General features: G+C 42.2%; 1 protein-coding gene across 8 annotated transcripts in view, besides 2 other annotated features; it reads right to left on the reverse strand.

Annotated features, from left to right (window-relative positions):
• The window catches only part of RNF38 (ring finger protein 38), a 151,270-nt gene that overhangs the window by 102,182 nt on the left and 25,818 nt on the right, over positions 1 to 23,270 (reverse strand). The window lies entirely within an intron of this gene.
• Positions 20,022 to 20,091: an enhancer, noted in NCBI's record as "active region_28351". NCBI's record gives its function as "activates an Ori minimal core promoter by ATAC-STARR-seq in GM12878 lymphoblastoid cells {active_cell/tissue: GM12878}" and the evidence as "EXISTENCE:reporter gene assay evidence [ECO:0000049][PMID:35858748]".
• Positions 20,222 to 20,311: an enhancer, noted in NCBI's record as "active region_28352". NCBI's record gives its function as "activates an Ori minimal core promoter by ATAC-STARR-seq in GM12878 lymphoblastoid cells {active_cell/tissue: GM12878}" and the evidence as "EXISTENCE:reporter gene assay evidence [ECO:0000049][PMID:35858748]".

Here is a 23,270-nt window from a genome sequence, read left to right on the forward strand (position 1 = left end):
TACAAGCAGAAGAGTTTCAGTACATTCAGTGTTTTTGTCTACAATAGCAAAGCTTCACGGTGCTGAACAAAAGACCTAGATAGGTTAGCACACTCAGGCATTTACTTATACAAAGCTAAAAAGGGAGTGGGATGACAATGGTATTTCTACCTGAAAGAAAGAATCTCCTCTTACCCAGCTGAATAGGTGAGAGACTTGACATCTTCCCCTGCTCGGGAAGAGATGTCCTCTCTCCTCCTCTCACTACCTTAGAGAGCTAGGGGCCTAGAGAAGGGCAAACAATACATGGGGCAAAATATTTTACAACATGGACATGAGAGCTTAGGAACTATTATCAGAGATTTCTCTCAGCCTTGAGTACTGCTAAACACACATTTATATTAAGTGCTCTCTACTCTCACAAACTAGAAGAAGAGGTTAAAATAAGCCACAGGGGCCACCTCATATTATCATACTTCAAATCTATGCAGAATAGAGCTATGCATGAAAAGCAATGAGGGCGGGGTGGGAGGGGACTATTGAATTCAAATAAACAAGAAGTGATTTATTGAAATAGAACACAAAAATTATATTCTAGCTAATTCTAACATCACAAGAAGTGATTTTTAAAATACAAAAATTATATTCAAGCTAATTCTAACATCACTGGCAGGAAAAACACTTTACTTGCTAATAGTATATGTAGACCTAGATGTGAGATGTGAAAAAGAAAAAGATTTTGCAGTAAGACAGGCTTGAGTTTTAATCCTTGTCCTTCTATTCGTTAGCTGTGAAACCTTAGATCTTGAACAAGTGACCCTCATTTTTTTTTCCTTACCTTCAAAGAGGTGTGACACCTATGATACAAGGTTGTTGCGAAGCTTATATGACGTATGTAAAGAACACAGCACTGTGGCACAGAAAATGGTTAATAAGTGGTTATTCCTATATCAATCGAAAATAGCCAGGCATGGTAGCTCAAGTCTGTAATCCCAGCACTTCGGGAGGCTGAGGTGGGAGGATCACTAGAGGTCAGGAGTTAAAGACTAGCCTGACCAACATGGCAAAACCCCGTCTCTACTAAAAACACAAAAATTAGCCGGGCATGGTGGCACACACCTTTAGTCCCAGCTACTAGAGAAATCGCTTGAACCTGGGAGGTGGAGGTTGTAGTGAGCCGAGATTATATCACTGTACTCCAGCCTGGGCAGCACAGTGAGACTCTGTCTCAAAAAAAAAAAAAAAAAAAAACTTATCAATAGAAAATGCTAACAGTACCAATCTCCTTTCTCCAAATCACCACAAATTTGTCTGGCATAATTTGTAACTGAGAACATTTTATTGGTATCCATTGATATCTATATACTATTTATTATACAGCCTGCCTTAAAGTTACTGACATGGGCCAGGCACTGTGGCTCATGCCTGTAATCCCAGCAGTTTGGGAAGCTAAGGTGGGCAGATCACTTGAGGTCAGGAGTTCGAGGCCAGCCTGGCCAACATGGTGAAACCCTGTCTCTACTAAAAATACAAAAATCAGCCAGGTGTGGTGGCTCGTGCCCATAATCCCAGGTACTTGGGAGGCTGAAGCAGGAGAATCACCTGAATCTGGGAGGTAGAGGTTGCAGTGAGCTGAGATCATGCCACTACACTACAGCCTGGGCAACACAGCAAGACTCTGCCTCAAAAAAAGAAAAAGTGGCAGGGCGCAGTGGCTCACGCCTGTAACCTGTAATCCCAGCACTTTGGGAGATGGGCGGATCACCTGAGGTCAGGAGCCTGACCAAATGTCAAAACCCAGTCTCTACTAAAAATACAAAATTAACCGCGTGTGGTGGCAGGTGCCTGTATTCCCAGCTACTAGGGAGGCTGAGGCAGGATAATCACTTGAACCTGGGAGGCAAAGGTTGCAGTGAACCAAGATTGTGCCATTGCACTCCAGCCTGGGCAACAAGAGCGAAACTCCATCTCAAAAAAAAAAGAAAGAAAAAAAAGAAAAGAAAAAGTTACTGACATGGAAAAGTTACCAAAATATACTGTTAAGTGGAAAAAAAAAGCAAGTTGCAGAATAAATAAATAAGGCCCTGTTATCTAAACATAGAGACTAGAAATACATACAAACTGCTCACAGTAATTATCCTTGAAAAGGACAATGGAACTGAGGACACATTGATCTATTTTGTATTGTTTGCATCTTCTACAATATTAAGCACTATTTGCTTAATTAAAAACCAATAACAAAAGGAAAAAACCACTAGTAAAATGAAAATTATTCACACAAGGCACTTACATAATCTCAGATACTTTGGGAGGCTGAGCTGGGTGGATCACGAGGTCAGCTTTAACCTTCCTATGCAACACTTTTATTCCCCCCAAATGCCTCATGGTCTGACAGTCTTGAAAACTCCATGGGCAGACACATTTTTACTCCACCTGCCTGCCAATCTAATACACTCAAGGCTAAGTTGAGCATGGCTCCTTTAACCCCAATAGTGACTATGGAGTGGGAGAGTCGGGTCCTGGGAGGAAAGAGGGTGTTAGAAGAAAAGATGAGAAAGAAAAAGCTCAATGGAAAAGAACATACCTTTTTCTATTTTGTAATGTACTAAGGTTACAAAAAGGCCTTTGTCCATCCCAGCAGACACTTATTGTGACCTTAGCTATTTATATGCAACAAAAACTCTCCAAGAATGTCAGCTAAGTGAAAGATAAAATTTACATAATTTCATTTTGCAGGCTTTTCATCTGTTCTGGGTTACTAAATTACCAATTTTTTTTTTTTTTTTGATGGAGTCTCACTCTGTCACCCAGGCTAGAGTGCAATGGCATGATCTCAGCTCACTGCAACCTCCGCCTCCTGGGTTCACACGATTCTCCTGCCTCAGCCTCCTGAGGAGCTGGGATTACAGGCACGCGCCACCATGCCGGCTAATTTTTCTATTTTTAGTAGAGCGGGGTTTCACCACACTGGCTGGGCTGGTCTTGAACTCCTGACCTCGTGATCCACCCAGCTCGGCCTCCCAAGTGCTGGGATTACAGGCGTGAGCCACCGCGCCTGGCCCCAAATCTTTTAAAATACTGATTATAATATAATATCACCTAGGATGGATTTCACCAAACACCACAAAGGTCTAAGATGCGTTCATATACATACTCCTCAATTAAAAACAACAACTTGTGCACCTCTTTCAAAAAGGCTTGCTTTGGGAAGTTAACACTATTGCTCTATGACACCTCAAGTCCATCTAAATTAGCCTGGGAATTGACCTTCTGTTCAAAGAAATCACAGCTATTTAAGGAATGACAACTTCTAAGAAAGATTATTTTCTAGTATATTAAGGCATTTGTACTTCCAAACTGATTTACAGTGAACATCAGATTATAAACCTATTTATTATCACTGAATATTAGCCTACTCTTAGACACTAATGATAATTCTTTCTGAATACATCAGTTTAACCTTGTCATTCCCCTACATAGGAACCATCAATAGCTTCCTCCTACTTATAAGGGGGGGAGGGGGAGAGTCAAATCTGTCCATCAGGCATTCCAATCTTCCTAATCTCATCACTACCAACTCTTGCCAAAGCCTTAGCTCAAACCGGCTGTCAACTTCCTGTTCTTTGAACTCACCGTAATCTGACTGAATGTTCTCATACTGTTAGACCCATCTTTAAAACTCTACCTCAATTCTGCCATCCCTCAATATCCAACTCAAGCCTCAAAAAAGCTAGATGGTATCATCTCCCCTATGAACTTTTAGCAATGACTACTATTGGAGCTTGGGGGTTCATTAAATAAAATCCCTTCCCTCCATCCACCTACCCACTCATTTCTGGAAAAAGGGAGAAATATGACCAAAAAAGTCAGATAGTGACCAAACTGTCAGCTTAATTATAAAGCTCATATTTTAAAAATACATTAAAAATTAAAGACACCTGCCAGGCGCAGTGGCTCACGCCTGTAATCCCAGCACTTTGGGAGGCCGAGGCGGGCGGATCATGAGGTCAGGAGATCGAGACCATCCAGGTTAACATGGTGAAACCCCATCTCTATTAAAAATACAAAAATTAGCCGGGTGTGGTGGCACGCCCTATAGTCCCAGCTACTCGGGAGGCTGAGGAAGGAGAATCACTTGAACCTGGAAAGCAGAGGTTGCAGCGAGCCGAGATCGTGCTATTGCACTCTAGCCTGGCAACAGAGAGAGGCTCAGTCTCAAAAAAATAAGTGTCTGCTGGAATTGAGCAATTCGCTCACCCAATAACAGTAGCAGTTGGAAAACTATAGGCCTACCCACATAGAGATCTGTTTCTGGAAAATTTGCAGCTTCCAAGAATAGGCTACAAGTGGCTGGCTCCTAAGCCCTGCCTAGTTGCTCACCCAAATTCTTCAATGAGATTAGTAAGTCCTCCTCTGGGCGCAAAGAGAAGCCAAGGGAATTACACAGTGATGTCCCTCCACATGGAAATGTGAACCTAGAAGAAAAGAGGTGTCCATCCCCCAATTACGGCTTTGTTTCAAACACAGGCTTATGCCACTTCTATGGATGCCTTAAAACGTTATTTTTAAGTATCATACTGTTTTTAATATGTTTGTTATCTCCACATAGATTAAGCTCCTAGAGAGTGAAATATTAAATGGATTGTCCGCAGGCATAGTGATGGCAAGACCTGGAGTGGGGACAGCAACACTGTGAGCCAGATAATAAAATCTCTGATGAATTGAGGGGTGCAGGATGAGAGAAATGTCTGTGCCTAGAGCTTTAATAGAAGACAGCAAAAAGGGGTTATAGGGAAAAATAGCATAAACCTCAAAGACCGATTTTCACACGAAGATATTAAAGCAATGGCTGAAAGTTGCAAGAGTGAGAAAAATATCAATGCTATATATTTACATTAAAAAGGAAAAACAAAGCAATTCTATCTTTATATTATTTATATGCACAATACAACAACCACTCAGTTGTTGGGACACAGAAGACTCAAATGACAAAATGACAATTAGGAATCACTACAAATAGATAAAGACTTAACTAACATTCAATGCTGGAAAATTATTTCAAGCCATCAAACCATATAGACCAGAAAGCAACAAAAAGAATGTAATTAAAATGCAAAAAAGAAATGAACTTAAACGCTGAAAGGCAGGCATAACCACTGAACTGAAAAAAAATAGGATGGTAAACAGACTCATCCATCTGGTTTCCATGACTAATGGGAACAGAGGTGCTCAGGGAGAGCGAGTGGAGAGAAAACAGGAGGTTACGGATAAGAACATGGTGAATATACACAGAAGATAGGTGTTGCAAATTGAAATGTACAGAGACAAAATTAACTACAGTCAACTTTTGGCTAATGAATGAGTGAAGTCACTCGACAGAACCAAGCAGGCTGGAGCCAGCATGTTCCCCTCCCAGAAGAGCAGCTCTAATGATCACTGCCACAGGAAAATGGACACCGAAGTGAAGCCAGGTCATCTTTTCCCCAAAAAAGCCACACATTCAGATTTTAAATATTTTTATTGTTAGCAACTACAATAATGTTTTCAAAACACTCTGAGGGCCAATAAAACATCTGCAAACAAGATTTGACAGTCAGCTAGCCATTCTTGATTTAGGACATGGACAAAGAAAAAGCCACAAAAGCACCTGAAAAGAAGTAATTTTAAAAAAGGACGGTGAAAGATCAGGATAGAACAGTTCACTGAAACCAAAGGCAAAGGGTTTCAAGAAAAAAAAATGAGGGTTGCAGGTTGGGGGGAAGGGAGAGCATCAGGAAGAATAGCTAATGGATGCTGGGCTTAATACCAAGGTGATAGGTTAATCTGTGCTGCAAACCACCATGTCACACGTTTACCTATGTAACAAACCTGCATTTCCTGCACTTGTACCCTGGAACTTAAAAGCTGAAGAAAAATAAGAGTGATTAACAGGAAGTTCAATTAAAAATCAAGAAAAAGGCCAGGCATGATGGCACATGCCTGTAATCCCAGCACTTTGGGAGGTTGAAACAGGCAGATCATTTGAGGTCAGGAGTTTGAGACCAGCCTGACCAACATACTGAAATCCCATCTCTACCAAAAATACAAAAATTAGCCAGAAGTGGTGGTGCACACCTATAGTCCCAGCTACTTGGGAGGCTGAGGTGGGAAAATCACTTGAATCCAGCAGGCAGAGGTTGCAGTGAGCTGAGATCGCACCACTGCACTCCAACCTGGGAGATAGGAGTGAAAACCCTGTCTCAAAAAAAGATTTGAATAAATAAGGGAATACCACACCCCTCAAATAAAATGCCATTAGTGCTCTTTAGTAACCTGAAAATTTAAAATAGTTTCATACTGCAGCTTTAAGAGCCATTCTCTTTTTTTTTTTTTTTTTTGAGACCTATCAGTGATCGCCAGAGATTTCTGGTTAATCCACTATCCCTCAGACCCAAACAAATCCTGCATAAACTACAAAGGTTCAAATCTCCTGGACTATGCTAGGGGACCCAGAACACCTGGAGCCCCACTGGGGTTCAGCATCCACAAGGGTGACACTTCACCGTCTTTTGCGATGGGACAGTCTGTTGTGACATGATGCTTCCATTCTAGAATGACAGAGAAGGTACGCACTTACAGACAACCTATCAGCAATAAATAGCAAGTACTGGAACCAAAGAACAGAAAAAAATCCAGGTAGAATGAAGTTGATCATGAAATGCTTTCTGGGAAAATTTGAACGTAGCAGAGAAGTTGAACATGGTAAGGATAAAGACAAGAGTCATACAAAGTAGATTTTGTGGCCAGGTGCCCCCAATTTTGAGACATATGATTTCATGTTTTTCTTTTCAATAATGGTTATTTAACTGCATAATTACTTATTTGTTGCATTCTTTTTCATATTAATAATTTTACAACTAAATTCCTTCATCAGACCTTCTACACAATTTGAGTTTGGATAACTGGTCACCATATGTATGAAAGCAATGGAACCCATACGGGTATAGAGATGCTTATGAATAAATTGGAGTTGGGATGAGAGAGAGTGAAACAGTCCATGCTAAGACAGGGGAATCAAACCACAAGCCAGAACCACTGGAGGATGGTGAAGGGTAGAGAGAACTAGCTGGTAAAAGACTCCTCTAAAGTAAGGAGGCATGCAGCTCTCTGAAAAGCCAGCCGACAACTCCTTACTCCAGTTTTTCAATCTACTACTTCAGATTGCCAGCTGATATCAAGGAGTGTCACAAGACACCGTAAGGTGTCACAAAACACCACAGCTTTAACATGTCACCTGAAATGACAGCCTAGGGAAAAATGTATTCAGATTCTTCTCCCTTTCAACTATCAGGCTCAAACGATTCCCCCTGATGTGGAACTTCAGAGCCGTTGCCACACAGTGTAGCACTTAGTCCCTGAGTTGTTTTATTCTCCCACGTGCATTCTGCTTGAATCCAGTCCTTGTCTTCCATCTTTCCCGCCTCTTAAACAAAGTTTTGGCTCTTACACAGGGAAGTCCACCAAGCTTTGTGATGTGCTACAAACTCTCAGGCTGTTCTGTGTGGTCCATGAGCACACCTGAACCTCTGATCATGTCAGGCAGTTTCCCAGTGACTTAGCCCTGCCCAAGCGTTAACTATGCCAGCAGCCTCTGCTAAGAATTCTGGCCCCTCAAGTACAAACTCTGGGAATGTTACACTGATTTGTATCACAAAAAGGGTTAGTTTCTGTTCCTGGAGTTTGAAGGAAACCAGTTAATATGAAGCACTCATATAAACAGCAAGGCTTCTCCCAACAATCTGTAAGAGTTGAGGACAACAGAAATTCAGTACAACAGTTTACATGAAATGCTTTTTTCTCCCCTGTGTTTCCTGCACAAGAAAATTTGGGACAAGGGAATGGTTTGGAAACAACTGTTTCTTTCTTTCTTTTATTAAAGTACAAATTAAATCTGAAAACACTTTATTAAGTTGAAATACACATCGGCCCAGGCGCAGTGGCTCACGCCTGTAATCCCAACACTTTGGGAAGCTGAGGCAGAAGGATCACTTGAGGTCAGGAGTTTGAGACCAGCCTGGGCAACATGGTGAAACCCCGTCTCTACTAAAAACACAGAAAGTTAGCCAGGCATGATGGCCCCCGCCTGTAATCCCAGCTACACGGGACGCTGAGGCAGAAGAATCACTTGAACCCAGGAGGCAGAGGTTGCAGTGAGCCGAGATTGCACCACTGCACTTCAGCCTGGGCGACAGAGTGAGACTCCGCCTCAAGAAAAAAAAAAAAAAAAAAAAAAAAAAAAAGTCAGGCATGGTGGCTCATGCTTGTAATCCCAGCACTTTGGGAGGCTGAGGTGGGCGGATCACTTGAGGTCAGGAGTTCGAGACCAATCTGGCCAATGTGGTGAAACCGTCTCTACCAAAAATACAAAAAAAAAAAACATAGCTGGGTGTGGTGGCGGATGCCTGTATTCCTAGCTACTTGGGAGGCTGAGGCAGGAGAATTGCTTGAACACAGGAGATGGAGGTTGCAGTGAGTTGAGATCGTGTCACTGCACTCCAGCCTGGGCAACAGGGCAAGACTGTCTCCAAAAAAAAAAAAAAAAATTTAAATCTGATTAAGTGCTTGTGATTAAGTGTGGCCAAAAATTTTGAGTAAGGAGTCTCATCACTGTGACCTAATAGCCCAATTTTAGATGACTCCTCCTGTATTTACACAGACCTCTGCATACACCTATCACAATACATCACACTGTTTTGCTTCTCCTTCTAGACCAAAAGTTGCTTGAGAGCAGAAGCCATGACTTACATGAATTGATTAAAAGCCTAGGACAGTGCTGGGCACACAGTAGGTATTAAACAGTCCTGAATGGAAAGCCATGATACGAATTCATTTACCGTAAATTCAGGAGACGAATTTCTAACTAAAATTCTGCTATCTCTAAAGGATTCCAAATCAGCAGTAAATAGCTGCACACCTCAAGCCCTAAATGTGTAGGCATCTGATAATATATAATACTAGTAAGTGGTCAGTAACAACCAACCTGCTAAAACAGGTACTAAGGAAAGGAATAAGCCACCGAAGAAGCCTAATGAAAATATGCATTTTAATATAATCTGAACTCTTCAGCTGTCTTAGGATACTTGGTACAGTATTCAAAATAACAACTGAGTACCTACAGAAATGTAAACATAGGAAGAATGGCCAACTACCATTTGCTTTCTCTCAAACTCAATGACCTTAGGGTCCAGACCAAGAGGAAGCTTGAGATTTTAACACTGGGAAGAATTACTAACTGTATTAATAGGACTAAATGAAAATGCATTCAACTGAACTTCATAATTGGGTTTTGTTTTCACTGTGTGCATTAACTACTCTCATAGGCAACCAAGAGCAGCGGCTTCTACCCCCTAAGTTCTTCTGAACTAGAAGTATAACAGAGGGCAATTCATCACTGTAATATTGAAGCCTACATGCAGCTCTGCAGTGCTGAAAAGAGCCTTTAAAGCTCATCACATCTACAATTTTACACCAAGCACAAAAGGGGAGGTGACTTACCCAAAGGCACACAGAAACTTAATGACAGGGTGAGGGCAGAGTGAGGACAGAACTGGTCTTCTTAAGGCCTGGGCCAGCAATCTACCACCCCAAACCAACCATATCCCTGCAGCCACTATGTTTGTATTCATTGTGATAAACTATATCTAAGTATTAGGCAAGCACAAATGTAAACATAAATGATCAAATATAGCAGAATCTTCTTAACCAGACTTCTCAGAGCTGTATGTTCTAGCTGACTTAATCTTCTGGTTACCAGAGATTGATATTGAAAAACGAACCTCACAATTATCATCAGGAAAAAGAAAACAAGGGAAACAACAAACAACAAATACTAGTCCTGTCCTTAGACACATGCAGAGAGCTGTTTTCTTTTTGGTAAATCTGTGCTATAAAGTAGTGGTGGTATAGTACAAATAGTCCAGCCCTATCAATAACTGACTAGTTGTGTGATATTATTCAAGTCAATCTCTCCGCAACTCAGTATTTACACCTTTAAAATGAAGAGGCAGAACTAGATAATGTAAAGTGCCTTCCAGCTCTGAAATTCAAAGTTCTTCAGAAATTGCCTGCCCCACCCCCAGATAAGTTCTAAATATATTATCTCAGGTTGAAACAGACCCAAATGGGCCGGGCGCGGTGGCTCAGCCTGTAATCTCAGCACTTTGGGAGACAGAGGCGGGCGGACTGCCTGAGGTCAGGAGTTTGAGACCAGTCTGGCCAACATGGTGAAACCCTGTCTCTATTAAAAATACAAAAAAATTAGCTGGGCGCCTGCAATCCCAGCTACTCGGGAGGCTGAGGCAAGGGAATTGCTTGAACCAGCGAGGTGGAGGTTGCAGTGAGCCAAGATTGTGCCACTGCACTCCAGCCTGGGCGACAAAGCGAGACTCCGTCTCAAAAAAATTAAAAAAGAAAGAAAGAAAGAAAGAAATAGACCCAAACTATAAACCAGTTAAAACATACAACTGATACCTAGATCTCCTCTACAAATACTTGTAACTCTTATTAATAATGGCTTTTTGGTAGAATTATTTTTTCTGTATCACCATTTACACAAGAACTACTCAGAGACTTGCCATGGTTTAAAACATTTGGGAGGCTTAGGCAGGAGGATATCAAGGCAAAGTGTTTGAGACCAGCCTGAGTAACACAGCAGGACCTCATTTCTACAAAAAATAAAATAAACAGCCAGGTATGGTAGCACACACCTATAATCCTAGATATTTGGGAGGCTGAGGCAGGAGGATCACTTGAGCCCAGGAGTCTGAGGTTGAAATGAGCAGTGATTGTGCCAGTGCACTCCAGCCTGGGTGACAGAGTGAGACCCTATCTCTCTCTTTTTTTTCCTTTTTTTTTGAGATGGAGCATCACTCTGTCGCCCAGGCTGGAGTGCAGTGGCGCGATCTCGGTTCACTGCAACCTCCGACTCCTGGGTTCAGGCAATTCTCCTGCCTCAGCCTCCCAAGTAGATAGGACTACAGGCGCGTGCCAACACGCCCGGCTAATTTTTTGTATTTTTAATAGAGACGGGGTTTCACCGTGTTAGCCAGGATGGTCTCGATCTCCGAATCTTGTGATCCGCCCACCTCGGCCTCCCAAAGTGCTGGGATTACAGGCATGAGCCACCGCTCCCAGCCTAGACCTTATCTCGTAAACAACAAACACAAAAACATTTGCAGGTCCTACAATTAAGCAGAAGCAGGGGAAGTTGCTCAACTGGATGGAAGAAGCTTTGTGGACTTCTCACTCAGGAGTTCCAATATCATGTTTTATTTTTCATAGTTCTGCTATTTGATATAATTTTGGAAGCTCACTGATTTAAAGGCTGGTCTAGGTCTTTCTCCCCATAAAATACATAGTATTGACAAACATATTCGCTCTGTTCACAGGAACTGCACTATTGAATTCCCTCATGTATTTATATGCGATCATATACTATCATAAGGCTATCCCTTTCTTTTGTATTTTTTATTGTGGTAGAATATACATAAACTTCACCATTTTAACCATTTTTAAGCATAAATTCAGTGGCATGAACCTAACTCTTCGAAACCCAATTATAAAGCTTAGTTGTGCAACCATCATCACTCTATTTCCAAAACTTTTTTGTTGCCCCCAACAAAAACCCTGTACCCAGTAAGCAGTAACTTCCCACTCCCACTTGACTTTTTTTTTATATAATTATATTCTCAAAAGGCTTAATAACTTTTAAACTGTAATATGCTGCCACCAGGTGGCAAGAGAGCAACATGGCTGCCCTAAATTGGGAGGAAAGGCAGGGAACCACTAGTACTTTCTCCCAAGAATTAGAAAAGTTAAAATTTCACTCACCAAAACCACCTAGGTACATAACTATAAATTTCTACATGTTTTAATTTCCCTCTAAAATCTATAATAACTAAACTCATGCAAACTGCAAACAAAGAATTTCAGGGAACAATTTTAAAACCAAATAAAAGCTCAAAATATAGAACTTGGTGAGTATTTCCTAACTTAATCATCACTATACCTATTCAATTCTCAAAATTAACCTAGAGCCAGGCGCAGTGGCTCATGCCTGTAATCCTAGCACTTTGGGAGGCTGAGGTGGGCGAATCACCTGAGGTCAGGAGTTTGAGAACAGCCTGGCCAACATGTTAAAACCCCGTCTCTACTAAAAATACAAAAATGGCCTGGCGTGGTGGTTCATGCCTGTAATCCCAGCTACTTGGGAGGCTGAGGCAGGAGAATCACTTGAACCCAGGAGGTGGAGGTTGCGGTAAGCCGAGATCGTGCCATTGCACTCCAGCCAAGCCCCACAGGTTGAGGCAAAAATCAATCATCACAAAAGTGAGATAACCAGACAATATGAGTCTCCTAATGACAGAACAGAACTCCCTTATGATGTAGTCTTGCATTCCCCAATTCCAAATAAAGTATACTTAAATACGACTGAACCTCTAATTCTAGCAACCAATGCAGTGCAAAGAGAAAACACAGAGGACTGTGTTAATACGCACCTTGGGAATGCAATCAGCAAAGTTCAAACTAAAAAGTTATGGAACAAACAAGCGGCTTTCTTCAACAAATAAACTGCAGTATTTTGGCCGGGCGCAGTGGCTCATGTCTGTAATCCCAGCACTTTGGGAGGCCGAGGCAGGAGGATCACTTGAGGTCAGGAGTTTGAGACCAGCCTGGCCAACATGGTGAAATCCCATCTCTACTAAAAATAGAAAAGATTAGCCAGGTGTGGTGGCACGCATCTATAATCCCAGCTACTCAGGAGGCTGAGACAGGAGAATCGCTTGAAGCCGGGAGGCTGGAGGTCGCAGTGAGCCGAGATGGCACCACTGCACTCCTGCCTGTGCAACAAGAGTGAAACTCCATCTTAAAGAAGAAAAAAAAATTGTAGTAGTTTTTTTTTTTTTTTTTTTTTTTTTTGAGACGGAGTTTCGCTTTTGTTGCTCAGGCTGGAGTGCAATGGTGCAATCTCGGTTCACAGCAACCTCCGCCTCCCAGGTTCAAGCGATTCTCCTGCCTCAGCCTCCCTAATAGCTGGGATTACAGGCATGTGCCACCATGCCCAGCTAATTTTGTATTTTTAGTAGAGACTGGGTTTCTCCATGTTAGTCAGGCTGGTCTTCAACTCCTGACCTCAGGTGATCCGCCCACCTCGGCCTCCCAAAGTGCTGGGATTACAGGCATTAGCCACTGCACCCGGCTTGCAGTATTTTTTTAATGATAAAAGGGAAAGGCAATATATAGTAAAGATTTGAGAAGCACTGTGAATCACTTACAAAGTATTAGTTGATGTGGATCCTAATTCGAGCAAACTTTTTTAAAAAAAAAACTTTTTAAGGCCAGGCGCGGTGGCTCACCCCTGTAATCCCAATACTTTGGGAGGCCAGGGAGGATGGATCACTTGAGCTCAGGAGTTCAAGAATAGCCTGGGCCACATAGTGAGATCCCATCTCTACTAAAAATTTTTTTAAAAAAAATAGACACACACGATGCCGTGTGCCTACAGTTCTAGCTACTCAGGAGGCTGAAGTGGGAGAACCACTTGAGCACCCAAGGAGTTGAAGAGTGCATTGAGCCGTGATCACACCACTGCACTCCAGCCTAGGTAACAGACTGAGCTGATGTCTTTAAAAAAACTTTAAAATGTTCTTAAAGTGGTTTTAGTATATTCACTGGGTTGTTCATCAGTCACCACTAATTCTAGAACATTTTCATCATCCCAAAAAGAAACCCTGTATCCATTAGCAGTCAGCTCTCCCCCATTCTCCCCTCCTCCAGCCCTAGATAATCATTAATTTACTTTCCCAATGAATTTGCCTATTCTAGACATTTTTACATAAATAGACGCATACTACATGTGCTCTTTTGTGTCTGGTTTCTTTCACTTAGCATGTTTTGAATGTTCATCCATGTTGTGGCATGTTAGCAAAATCTTGCTTTTTTTTTTTTTTCTTGAGATGGAGTCTCACTCTGTTGCCCAGGCTGCAGTGCAGTGGCACAATCTCAGCTCGCTGCAACCTCCACCTCCTGGTTCAAGCGACTCTCCTGCCTCAGCCTCCCAAGTAGCTGGGACTATAGGTGTGCGCCACCATGCCCAGCTAATTTTTGTATTTTTGGTAGAGATGGGGTTTTGCCATGTTGGCCAGGCTGGTCTCAAAGTCCTGGCCTCAAGTGATCCGCCTGCCCTGGCCTTCTGAAGTGATGAGATTACAGGCATGAGCCACTGCACCCGGCCAAAACCTTGTTTATTTTTATGAATAATATGCCATTGTATGGGCATACTAATTTTTGTTTATTCATCAGCGGAAGGGCATTTGAATTGTTTCTGTTTTTCAGCTATAATGAATAATGATCAATCCTGTGAACATTTGTATACAGCTTCTGTGTAGACTTACGTTTTCAATTACGTTGGGTATCTAGGAGTGGAACTGCTGGGTCACACAGTAATTCTATATTAAACTTTTTGAGGAACGGCCAAACTGTTTTCTAAAGTGGCTGCACCATTTTACATTCCCACCACCAGTCTGAATGTTCCAATTTCTCCACATCCTTGACAACGTGTTGTTGTCTGTCTTCTATTATTATAGCCATCTTAACAAGTGTGAAGTGGAAATATTATTATTATTATTATTTTGAGACAGAGTCTTGCTCTGTTGCCCTGGCTGGAGTGCACTGGCACAAACACAGCTCACTGCAGCCTCAAAGTCCCAGAACTCAAGCAATCTTGCTGCCTCAGCTTCTCCAGTAGCTGGGACCACAGGTGCATGCCACCATGTTCAGGTAATTTTTTTTTTTTTTTTTTTGAGACGGAGTCTCACTCTGTTACCCAGGCTGGAGTGCAATGGTGCGATCTCAGATCAATGCAACCTCCACCTCCTGGGTTCAAGCAATTCTCCTGCCTCAGCCTCCCAAGTAGCTGGGATTACAGGCGCACGCTGCCACGACTGGCTAATTTTCTATATTTTTAGTAGAGACGGGGTTTCACCATGTTGGCCAAGCTGGTCTTGAACTCTTGACCCCAAGTGATCCACTGCCTTGGCCTCCCAAAGTGCTGGGATTATAGGCATGAGCCACTGCGCCCGCCACTGAGCTAAGTTTTAAAAAATTTTTTGTAAAGATGAGGTCTTGCCATGTTGCACAGGCTGGTCTCGAACTCCTACTTTCAAGCAATCCTCCCGCCTCAGTTATACACAAAATAACTGATGTGAGTCATTGCACACAGCCAGAGAATAATTAGTTTTTAAGTGTGATAATGACATAGTAGTCATGTACACGATTAGAGATTCATACTGAAATATTTATAGATAAATGATATGTTGTTTAGAATCATTCAAAATAACACAAAGTAGGGATGAGGGGAGAAGGTAGAAGTGGAGATGCATAAAATTGCCACTCTAATAATTATTGAACCTTAGTAATGGGTACGCATGGGTTTGTTATACTAGTCTCTCTAAAGCTATGTTTAAGATTTTTCCATAACAAATATTAAAATGTACCTACAATACCACAAATACATAAAATTCTTTCATACTTTTTTTTTTTTTGAGACAGAGTCTCACTCTGTCACCCAGGCTGAAGTGCAGTGGCGCAATCTCGGCTCACTGCAACCTCCACCTGCCAGGTTCAAATGATTCTCCTGCCTCAGCCTCTGTTGTAACTGGGATTACAGGCATCCGCCACCATGCCTGGCTAATTTTGTTTTGTATTTTTAGTAGAGACGTGGTTTTGCCAATGTTGGCCAGGCTGGTCTAGAACTACTGACCTCAAGTAATCCGCCCACCTCGGCCTCCCAAAGTGCTGGGGTTACAGGCATGAACCACCACGCCCAGCCTCTATCATACATTTTTATACCCTAGAAAACAAAATATCATACCTATTACATTATTTCACATCTCAACATTGCACAAATATTATGTTAGGTGTTTCTGAAAACCTGAGAAAAAAATTATGCCTAATAAAAATATCAATTATACATTAATTTACTTTTTTTTTTTTTTTTTTTTGAGACGGAGTCTTACTCTGTCGCCCCGGCTGCAGTGCAGTGGCACAATCTCGGCTCACTGCAACCTCCGCCTCCCAGGTTCAAGTGATTCTCCTGCTTCAGCCTGCTTAGTAGCTGGGATTACAGGTGTTCACTACCAGGACTGGCTAATTTTCTATATTTTTAGTACAGACAGGGTTTCACCATGTTGGCCAGGCTGGTCTTGAACTCCTGACCTTAAATGATCCACCCGCCTCGGTCTCTCAAAGTGCTGGGGTTAAAGGCGTGAGCCACTGCACCCGACCTAATTTTAAATCCTGTAAACAGATTTTCAAGGTTATATATTTATGCTAGTTAACAAAAACTGTGTTGTATCCAACTAAACTTCATTTGCTACAAATGTGAAAAATCAAACTCATCAGTATTCAACTCCCATGCGTATAAAGAAACAAATTCTTAAGAACATAAACTGCAAATGCAATCTCTTTTTTTTTTTTCTGAGACACAGTCTCATTCTGTCGCCATGTGCAGAGTGCGGTGGTGCGATCTTGGCTCACTGCAACCCCCGCCTCCCAGGCTCAAGTGATTCTCATGCCTCAGCCTCCTGAGTAGCTGGGATCACAGGCACGGACCACCATGTCCAGCTAATTTTTCCTGTTTTTAGTAGAGACGGGCATTTCACTGTGTTGGCTAGGCTGGTCTCAAACTCCAGGCCTCCAGTGATCCACCTGCCTCGGCCTCCCAAAGTGCTGGGATTACAGGCATTAGCCACTGTGTCCAGCCTTGTAAATGAAATATTGTACTTTATCTCAGTTGAGAAAGTTTTGTTTCTTTAATAGTAAGCACAACACTAAAAGGAGTCAACTCTCAATTATCTCCAGAAGGAAGCTAAGGAGCAAATAGTTTAAAAGTGCACTCATTTAGCTGGACGCGGTGGCTCACGCCTATAATCCCAGCACTTTGGGAGGCCGAGGCGGGTGGATCATGAGGTCAGGAGTTCAAGACCAGCCTGGCCAAGATGGTGAAACCCCGTCTCTACTAAAAGTACAAAAATTACAGCACATCTATAATCTCAGCTAGTTGGGAGGCTGAGGCAGGAGAATCGCTTGAATCTGGGGGGCAGAGGTTGCAGTGAGCCGAGACAAGACCAGCCTGGCCAAGATGGTGAAACCCCGTCTCTACTAAAAGTACAAAAATTACAGCACGTCTATAATCCCAGCTACTCAGGAGGCTGAAGCAGGAGAATCGCTTGAATCTGGGGGGCGGAGGTTGCAGTGAGCCGAGACCACACCACTGCACTTCACCCTGGGTGACAGAGCAAGACTCCACCTCAAAAAAAAAAAAAAAAAGTGCACTAATTTAACTTAATTCATTTTTTCTTTCACAAACTGCCATTTAACCAAATCACAGAAAAGGTAGCCTTCCCATTTCTTTCTAGCATCAGAGGGAGTAAGAAGTTCCACCTGGATGAATTTTCTTGATAACAATCCAATAAATAATTTTTTTTTTGAGACAGAGTCTCGTCTGCCATCCAGGCAGTGGCGTGATCTCAGCTCACTGCAACCTCCACCTCCTGCCTCAGCAATTCTCCTTCCTCAGCCTTCCTAGTAGCTGAGATTACAGGTGTACACCACCACATCTGGCTAATTTTGTATTTTTAGTAGAAACGGGTTTCACCATGTTGGCCAGGCTGGTCTCGAACTTCTGGCCTCAGGTGATCTGCCCACCTCGGCCTCCCAAAATGCTGGGATTACAGGCGTGAGCCACAGTAGCTGGTCTCAAACAATTTTTATTTCAACCATATTTAACAGAAATTATTCCAAAATATAATATGCATTTCTGTGTGTTATAAGTCACTAAAATGCAAAGTAATTTTAAACTTTTCATGACACATAAACATCGCTAACATCAATTATCAAACTTTTTGATGCTATAGAATCTGGAAAACTAGACATCTGCTTTCATGTATCTCAGGGTCTTGGTTTTTCTCTTCAAGGATCTATCCTAGACTCTGCCTTGCCAGTGAAGGCTGTCTCTCCTGCTGGGCTGAGGGTTTCTCTGGGCCTCTTCCTGCAATTCACCTCTCAACCTACTGGACACTAAATCTAATGAATACTCATTGTTTTTCCATTCCAGGCTAGCTAGCACAAATACCCGTTATCTCCCTGAATCCAGAACTGTTATATTCTGCATTGTGCCAAGCATGAAGACCAACAGATTGGGCCATGTTGATCACTGTGCTAACTTACTTAATGGTAGATATGTTTTAGAATTATAAGATATGAGAACTTTAATAATACAAGTGTAGGAGTTCAACCTCCCTGCTTTATAGATAAGCAAAAAGCCCAGAAGATTAAGTGACTCATCCAAGGTCACTGGGTTTTTTTGTAGCAGAAAAGAACTGCTGGTTTCTAGTCCAGCTGCTTTTTGCACTACTTCATCAACACCCACATCCTACAAGATTATCATGCAATAAAGTATAAACTAATTAAGGAGCTAAATTTTGCCCTAATTCTTTAAATTCATGGATGCTGGTCCTTCCAGAAATAAAACAAAACCTTAAAATCTGATTTCTGCTAGATGAATTTATATTAAAGTAGAACTAGCTTTATCACAGGTACCTGCTTTCTTACCAAACACGAAGGCACTGAATTAATAGGAATCAATCACATTTAAACCAAACATAAGAAACAACTATCTTCAGAAACCCATACTGCATACAGGTAACACTTTGGAGTAAGGCATGCTTTAAACAGACTTCCTCTAACTGAATTTAAACCATTTAATTGGCAATTAATCTATTAATTGTAACTCTTTTCCACTGAGCTATAACAGAAAAACATGCATCTATCCCTCCAACTGAGTTCTGCTTACACCATTAGATTCTGAAAGTCTGCGATGGGCACAGACATTAATATTTACTTAAATAGTTAAAAAGCCTTTGTTGGAAATAACTTTAAAGCCCTTATGTACAAACTTTACGGTTGAAGATAATCTTTAAGGCATAGGTTCTCAAACTGAGATCCACAGGCTTAAGTTTATCAGGGGACTGGGCATGGTGGCTCACGTCTGTAATCCCAGCACTTTTGGAGACTGAGGCAGGTGGATCACTTGAGGTCGGGAGCTCAAGACCAGCCTGGCTAACATGGTGAAACCCCGTCTCTACTAAATAAACAAAAATTAACCAGGCATGGTGGTGGGCACCTGTGAGCTGAGATCACGTCACTGCACTCCAGCCTGGGTGACAGAGGGAGACTCCGTCTCCAAAAAAAAAAAAATTATCAGGGGACTTCAGGAGGTCTACAAACTCCCTAAAACTGTACACAAAATTCAGAATGTATGTGCATTTGTGCATGTGTTAGGTTGAGAAGAGCCCTAGCTTTTATCAGATCCTCAAAAGAGAACCATCATGCCAAAAAGGTTCAGAATCCTGCTTTAAGTAAACAAAGCTTTCAAGCTGTGGAGGTAAGGCAGTCCATTGATGGTTGCAGAACACACAACAAAGGTTGCCTCTCCTCACATACACCAACGCTTTTGGAATGCAGAGCCTCAATATAGTAGTAATGAGAGGTGAAGCCAGCTGGACTTCTGGGTCGGGTGGGGACTTGGAGAACTTTTCTGTCTAGCTAAAGGATTGTAAATGCACCAATCAGCGCTCTGTGTTTAAAGGATTGTAAGCACACCAATCAGCACTCTGTAAAATGGACCAGTCAGTGCTCTGTAAGATGGACCAACCAGCAGGATGTGGGCAGGGCCAAATAAGAGAATAAAAGCTGGCCACCCGAGCCAGCAGCAGCAACCCGCCTGGGTCCCCTTCCACGCTGTGAAAGCTTTGTTCTTTTGCTCTTCACAGTAGATCTTGCTGCTGCTCACTCTTTGGGTCTGCACTACCTTTATGAGCTGTAACACACACCACAAGCGTCCGCGGCTTCATTCCTGAAGTCAGCGAGACCACAAACCCACCGGGAGGAACAAACAACTCCTGACGTGCCACCTTTAAGAGCTGTAACACTCACTGCGAAGATCTGCGGCTTCACTCCTGAAGTCAGTGAGACCACGAACCCACCGGAAGGAAGTTCCGGACACATCTGAACATCTGGAGGAACAAACTCTGGACACACCATCTTTAAGAGTTGTAACACTCACCGCGAGGGTCCGCGGCTTCATTCTTGAAATCAAGAACACACCGGAAGGAATAAATTCCAGACACAGTAATATTGAGAAACCATAAGTTCACCAGTCACAAGACAGAGAGACAAGTCCACTATATATCCTGACCAACATATCGCCACATTTGGTGTCTTAACCACAGACCATCAAGACATTCTGTAAGACAGAAAGATTGCCCTCTGGCTGGACGCGGTGGATCACCTGTAATCCCAGCACTTTGGGAGGCCAGGGTGGGCAGATCACGAGGTCAAGAGATTGAGACCATCCTGGCCAACATGGTGAAACCCTGTCTCTACTAAAAATACAAAAATTAGGTGGGCGTGGTAGTGCAGGCCTGCAATCCCAGCTACTCAGGAGGCTGAGGCAGGAGAATCACTTGAACCCAGGAGGTGGAGGTTGCAGTGAGCCGAGATCACACCACTGCACTCTAGCCTGGTGACAGAGCGAGACTCTGTCTCAAAAAAAAAAAAAAAGAAAGATAAAGATTGCCCTCCACAGCTACACACTGAAAAGACTGGGAAAGGGACAGAAATGTTCTGGGGGAATCTCTAGGGTAAAGGGCCTTTCAGCAAAAACACTCCCTGAAATTACTTTATCTCAACTAGTACTAACACTTCCTGGGTATACTTAATTCAGTAACCTGTGTTAAGGCATTTACTCCTTTTATTTGTCCAAAACAAAAATCTCTCTGTCAAACATTAGGGATAGGGCATTGCCTTCATTTTGGTACACTGAGTATTTTGTATTTAGAGAATAAATCCATTATCACAATTTTATAAGCTGTGAACACAAATCCCCTTAGTGTTTTCTGACACTGAAGAATTACTTTGTATTTAACACCCTGGATATGTGAGTGTGCAAGAGAAGAGTATGTGTATGTGTGTACATACTCCATCACAGGCTACATAAAATATTAACTCTAATTATTGTATAGTGCTTACAAAGAAATCCTGCTTTCCTTCTACCACCACTAAATACTATTTTCACTTCAGAGACTTGCGGATTTTAGGAAAGTTTATTTTCATTTCCATCTTCTACTGTCATGTACAATACTGAAAATCAGTTTTAACTGATTTTAGTGTTTTCCCAAAAGAAAATTGAGAAAGGATTATTGAGTCAAGAAATCTGTGCATACAAGATACTCTGTGGCGATTAGTAACATTGTTGTATTTTACACCTATGCATTTTTAGGCTATTGCTATCCAATACTATAAGAGAAAATTTTTTAACTTAATGCAAACGAATGTTTTTCTAACTTAAACGACAGAAAATTAAATCCATTCACCAAAACTATGCTTCTTAATATCTAAAAACCCTACTTAGGGCCAAAATCAGTGCTCCCAATTAGAGATCACAAATGTAACTTTAAAAACATTTTTCTTGTGGTTTCTTAAGCTTATGATCAACTGCCTAGAAGATACTAAGAATGTTGCCTACAAGACGTTGAGGATTAAAAACAGTAAAGAGCAATAAATATACTAGAAATTCCAATTATCTAATTTATTGGCACAACTGATGGTTTACTTCTCTCGCATAAGTGACCACAGGAAGGCATAGACTAATTTAAACTTTACACAACAAACAGGAAATTCAAAAGCAGGAATAAAAAGCTTTTATCTATAGTGGTTTAGCCAAACTATCATACATATACATACTGGAGTAAATGGAGGTAACATTAAGTGTGTGTGTGCAAGTGCCTGCCCCGACCCCATCACCAAGAACAGGGTTGATCCAGAAAGTAAGGTAAATCAATGCACAGTGGTGGGAAACAGACTTTTCCTAGTCCCAGAACACTTAATGGACTGGAAGCAGCAACTAGCTTAATCAGTGACATTCACACATATAAAGAAAAAAAGGAGCCAGGCGCGGTGGCTCACTCCCATAATCCCAGCACTTTGGGAGGCCAAGGCAGGCAGATCAGCTGAGGTTCGGAGTTCAAGACCAGCCTGACCAACGTGGAGAAACCCCATCTCTACTAAAAATACAAAATTAGCCAGGCGTGGTGGCACATGCCTGTAATCCCAGCTACTCAGGAGGCTGAGGCAGAAGAATCGCTTGAACCCAGGAGGTGAAGGTTGCAGCGAGCCGAGATTGCACCATTGCACTCCAGCCTGGGCAACAAGAGGGAAACTCTCTCAAAAAAAAAAAAAAAAAAAAAGAAAGAAAGAAAGAAAAAAAAGGAGGCTGGTCGCGATGGCTCACAACTGTAATTCCAACACTTTGGGAGGCCAAAGCAGGTGGATCACCTGAGATTAGAAGTTCAAGACCAGCCTGGCCAACATGGGGGAAACCCCGTATCTACTAAAAAATACAATAATTAGCTGGGTGTGGTGGTGCACACCTGTAATCCCAGCTACTTGGGAGGCTGAGGCAGGAGAATTGCTTGAACCTGGGAGGCGGAGATTGCGGTGAGCCAAGGCTGCACCACTGCACTGCACTCCAGCCTGGGCAACAAGAGCAAAACTCCATCTCAAAACAAACAAACAAACAAACAAAAACTCTGGGTCAGGGATGTTAAAGCCATGAATGAGTAGTGGTAAGCTGTATGCTATAAAGGAAAAAGAAAACCAGAATACAATGACAGAGCAGAGAGGTAAAACCTTCTTTAGACTGAGTAGTCAAGGAAGGCCTCAGAAGAAAGCTGAGAGCTCAGGGATGAGAAGGAGCTGAGTACTCAAAGGGTAGAACAAGAGTGTTCTATGCAGAGAAAACAGCCTGGAAGAGACAGGAAAAACTGTAAATTCAAGTGCAATGGGATGCCACTGAATAGTTTAAGTAACCATGTGACCCATTCTTTCAAAAGCTTTCTCTGGCTGCTATGCAGAGAAAAAAATTGGAGACCAGACAAGTGTGAAGACCAGCTGAAAGGCTACTGTGGCAGTTCAGGGGGAGAGATGGGATAGCTTCAGTGAAAAGAGGTGAAACAATACAAAATACATTCTGGAGATGTGCTGGAAAGGACAAGAATGTGGTGGGGAGTGGTGTGTAAGAAAAACAAAGGTGCCAAAAATGACTCCTAGATTCCTGGTTTAAGCATTTCCGATGGAAAAAACTAAGGGGAGAAATAGTTTTGCAGATAATAATTTCAGTTTGGACATGTGAA

Source organism: Homo sapiens, chromosome 9 (assembly GCF_000001405.40).
Source record: "Homo sapiens chromosome 9, GRCh38.p14 Primary Assembly".
Lineage (NCBI taxonomy): Eukaryota > Metazoa > Chordata > Mammalia > Primates > Hominidae > Homo > Homo sapiens.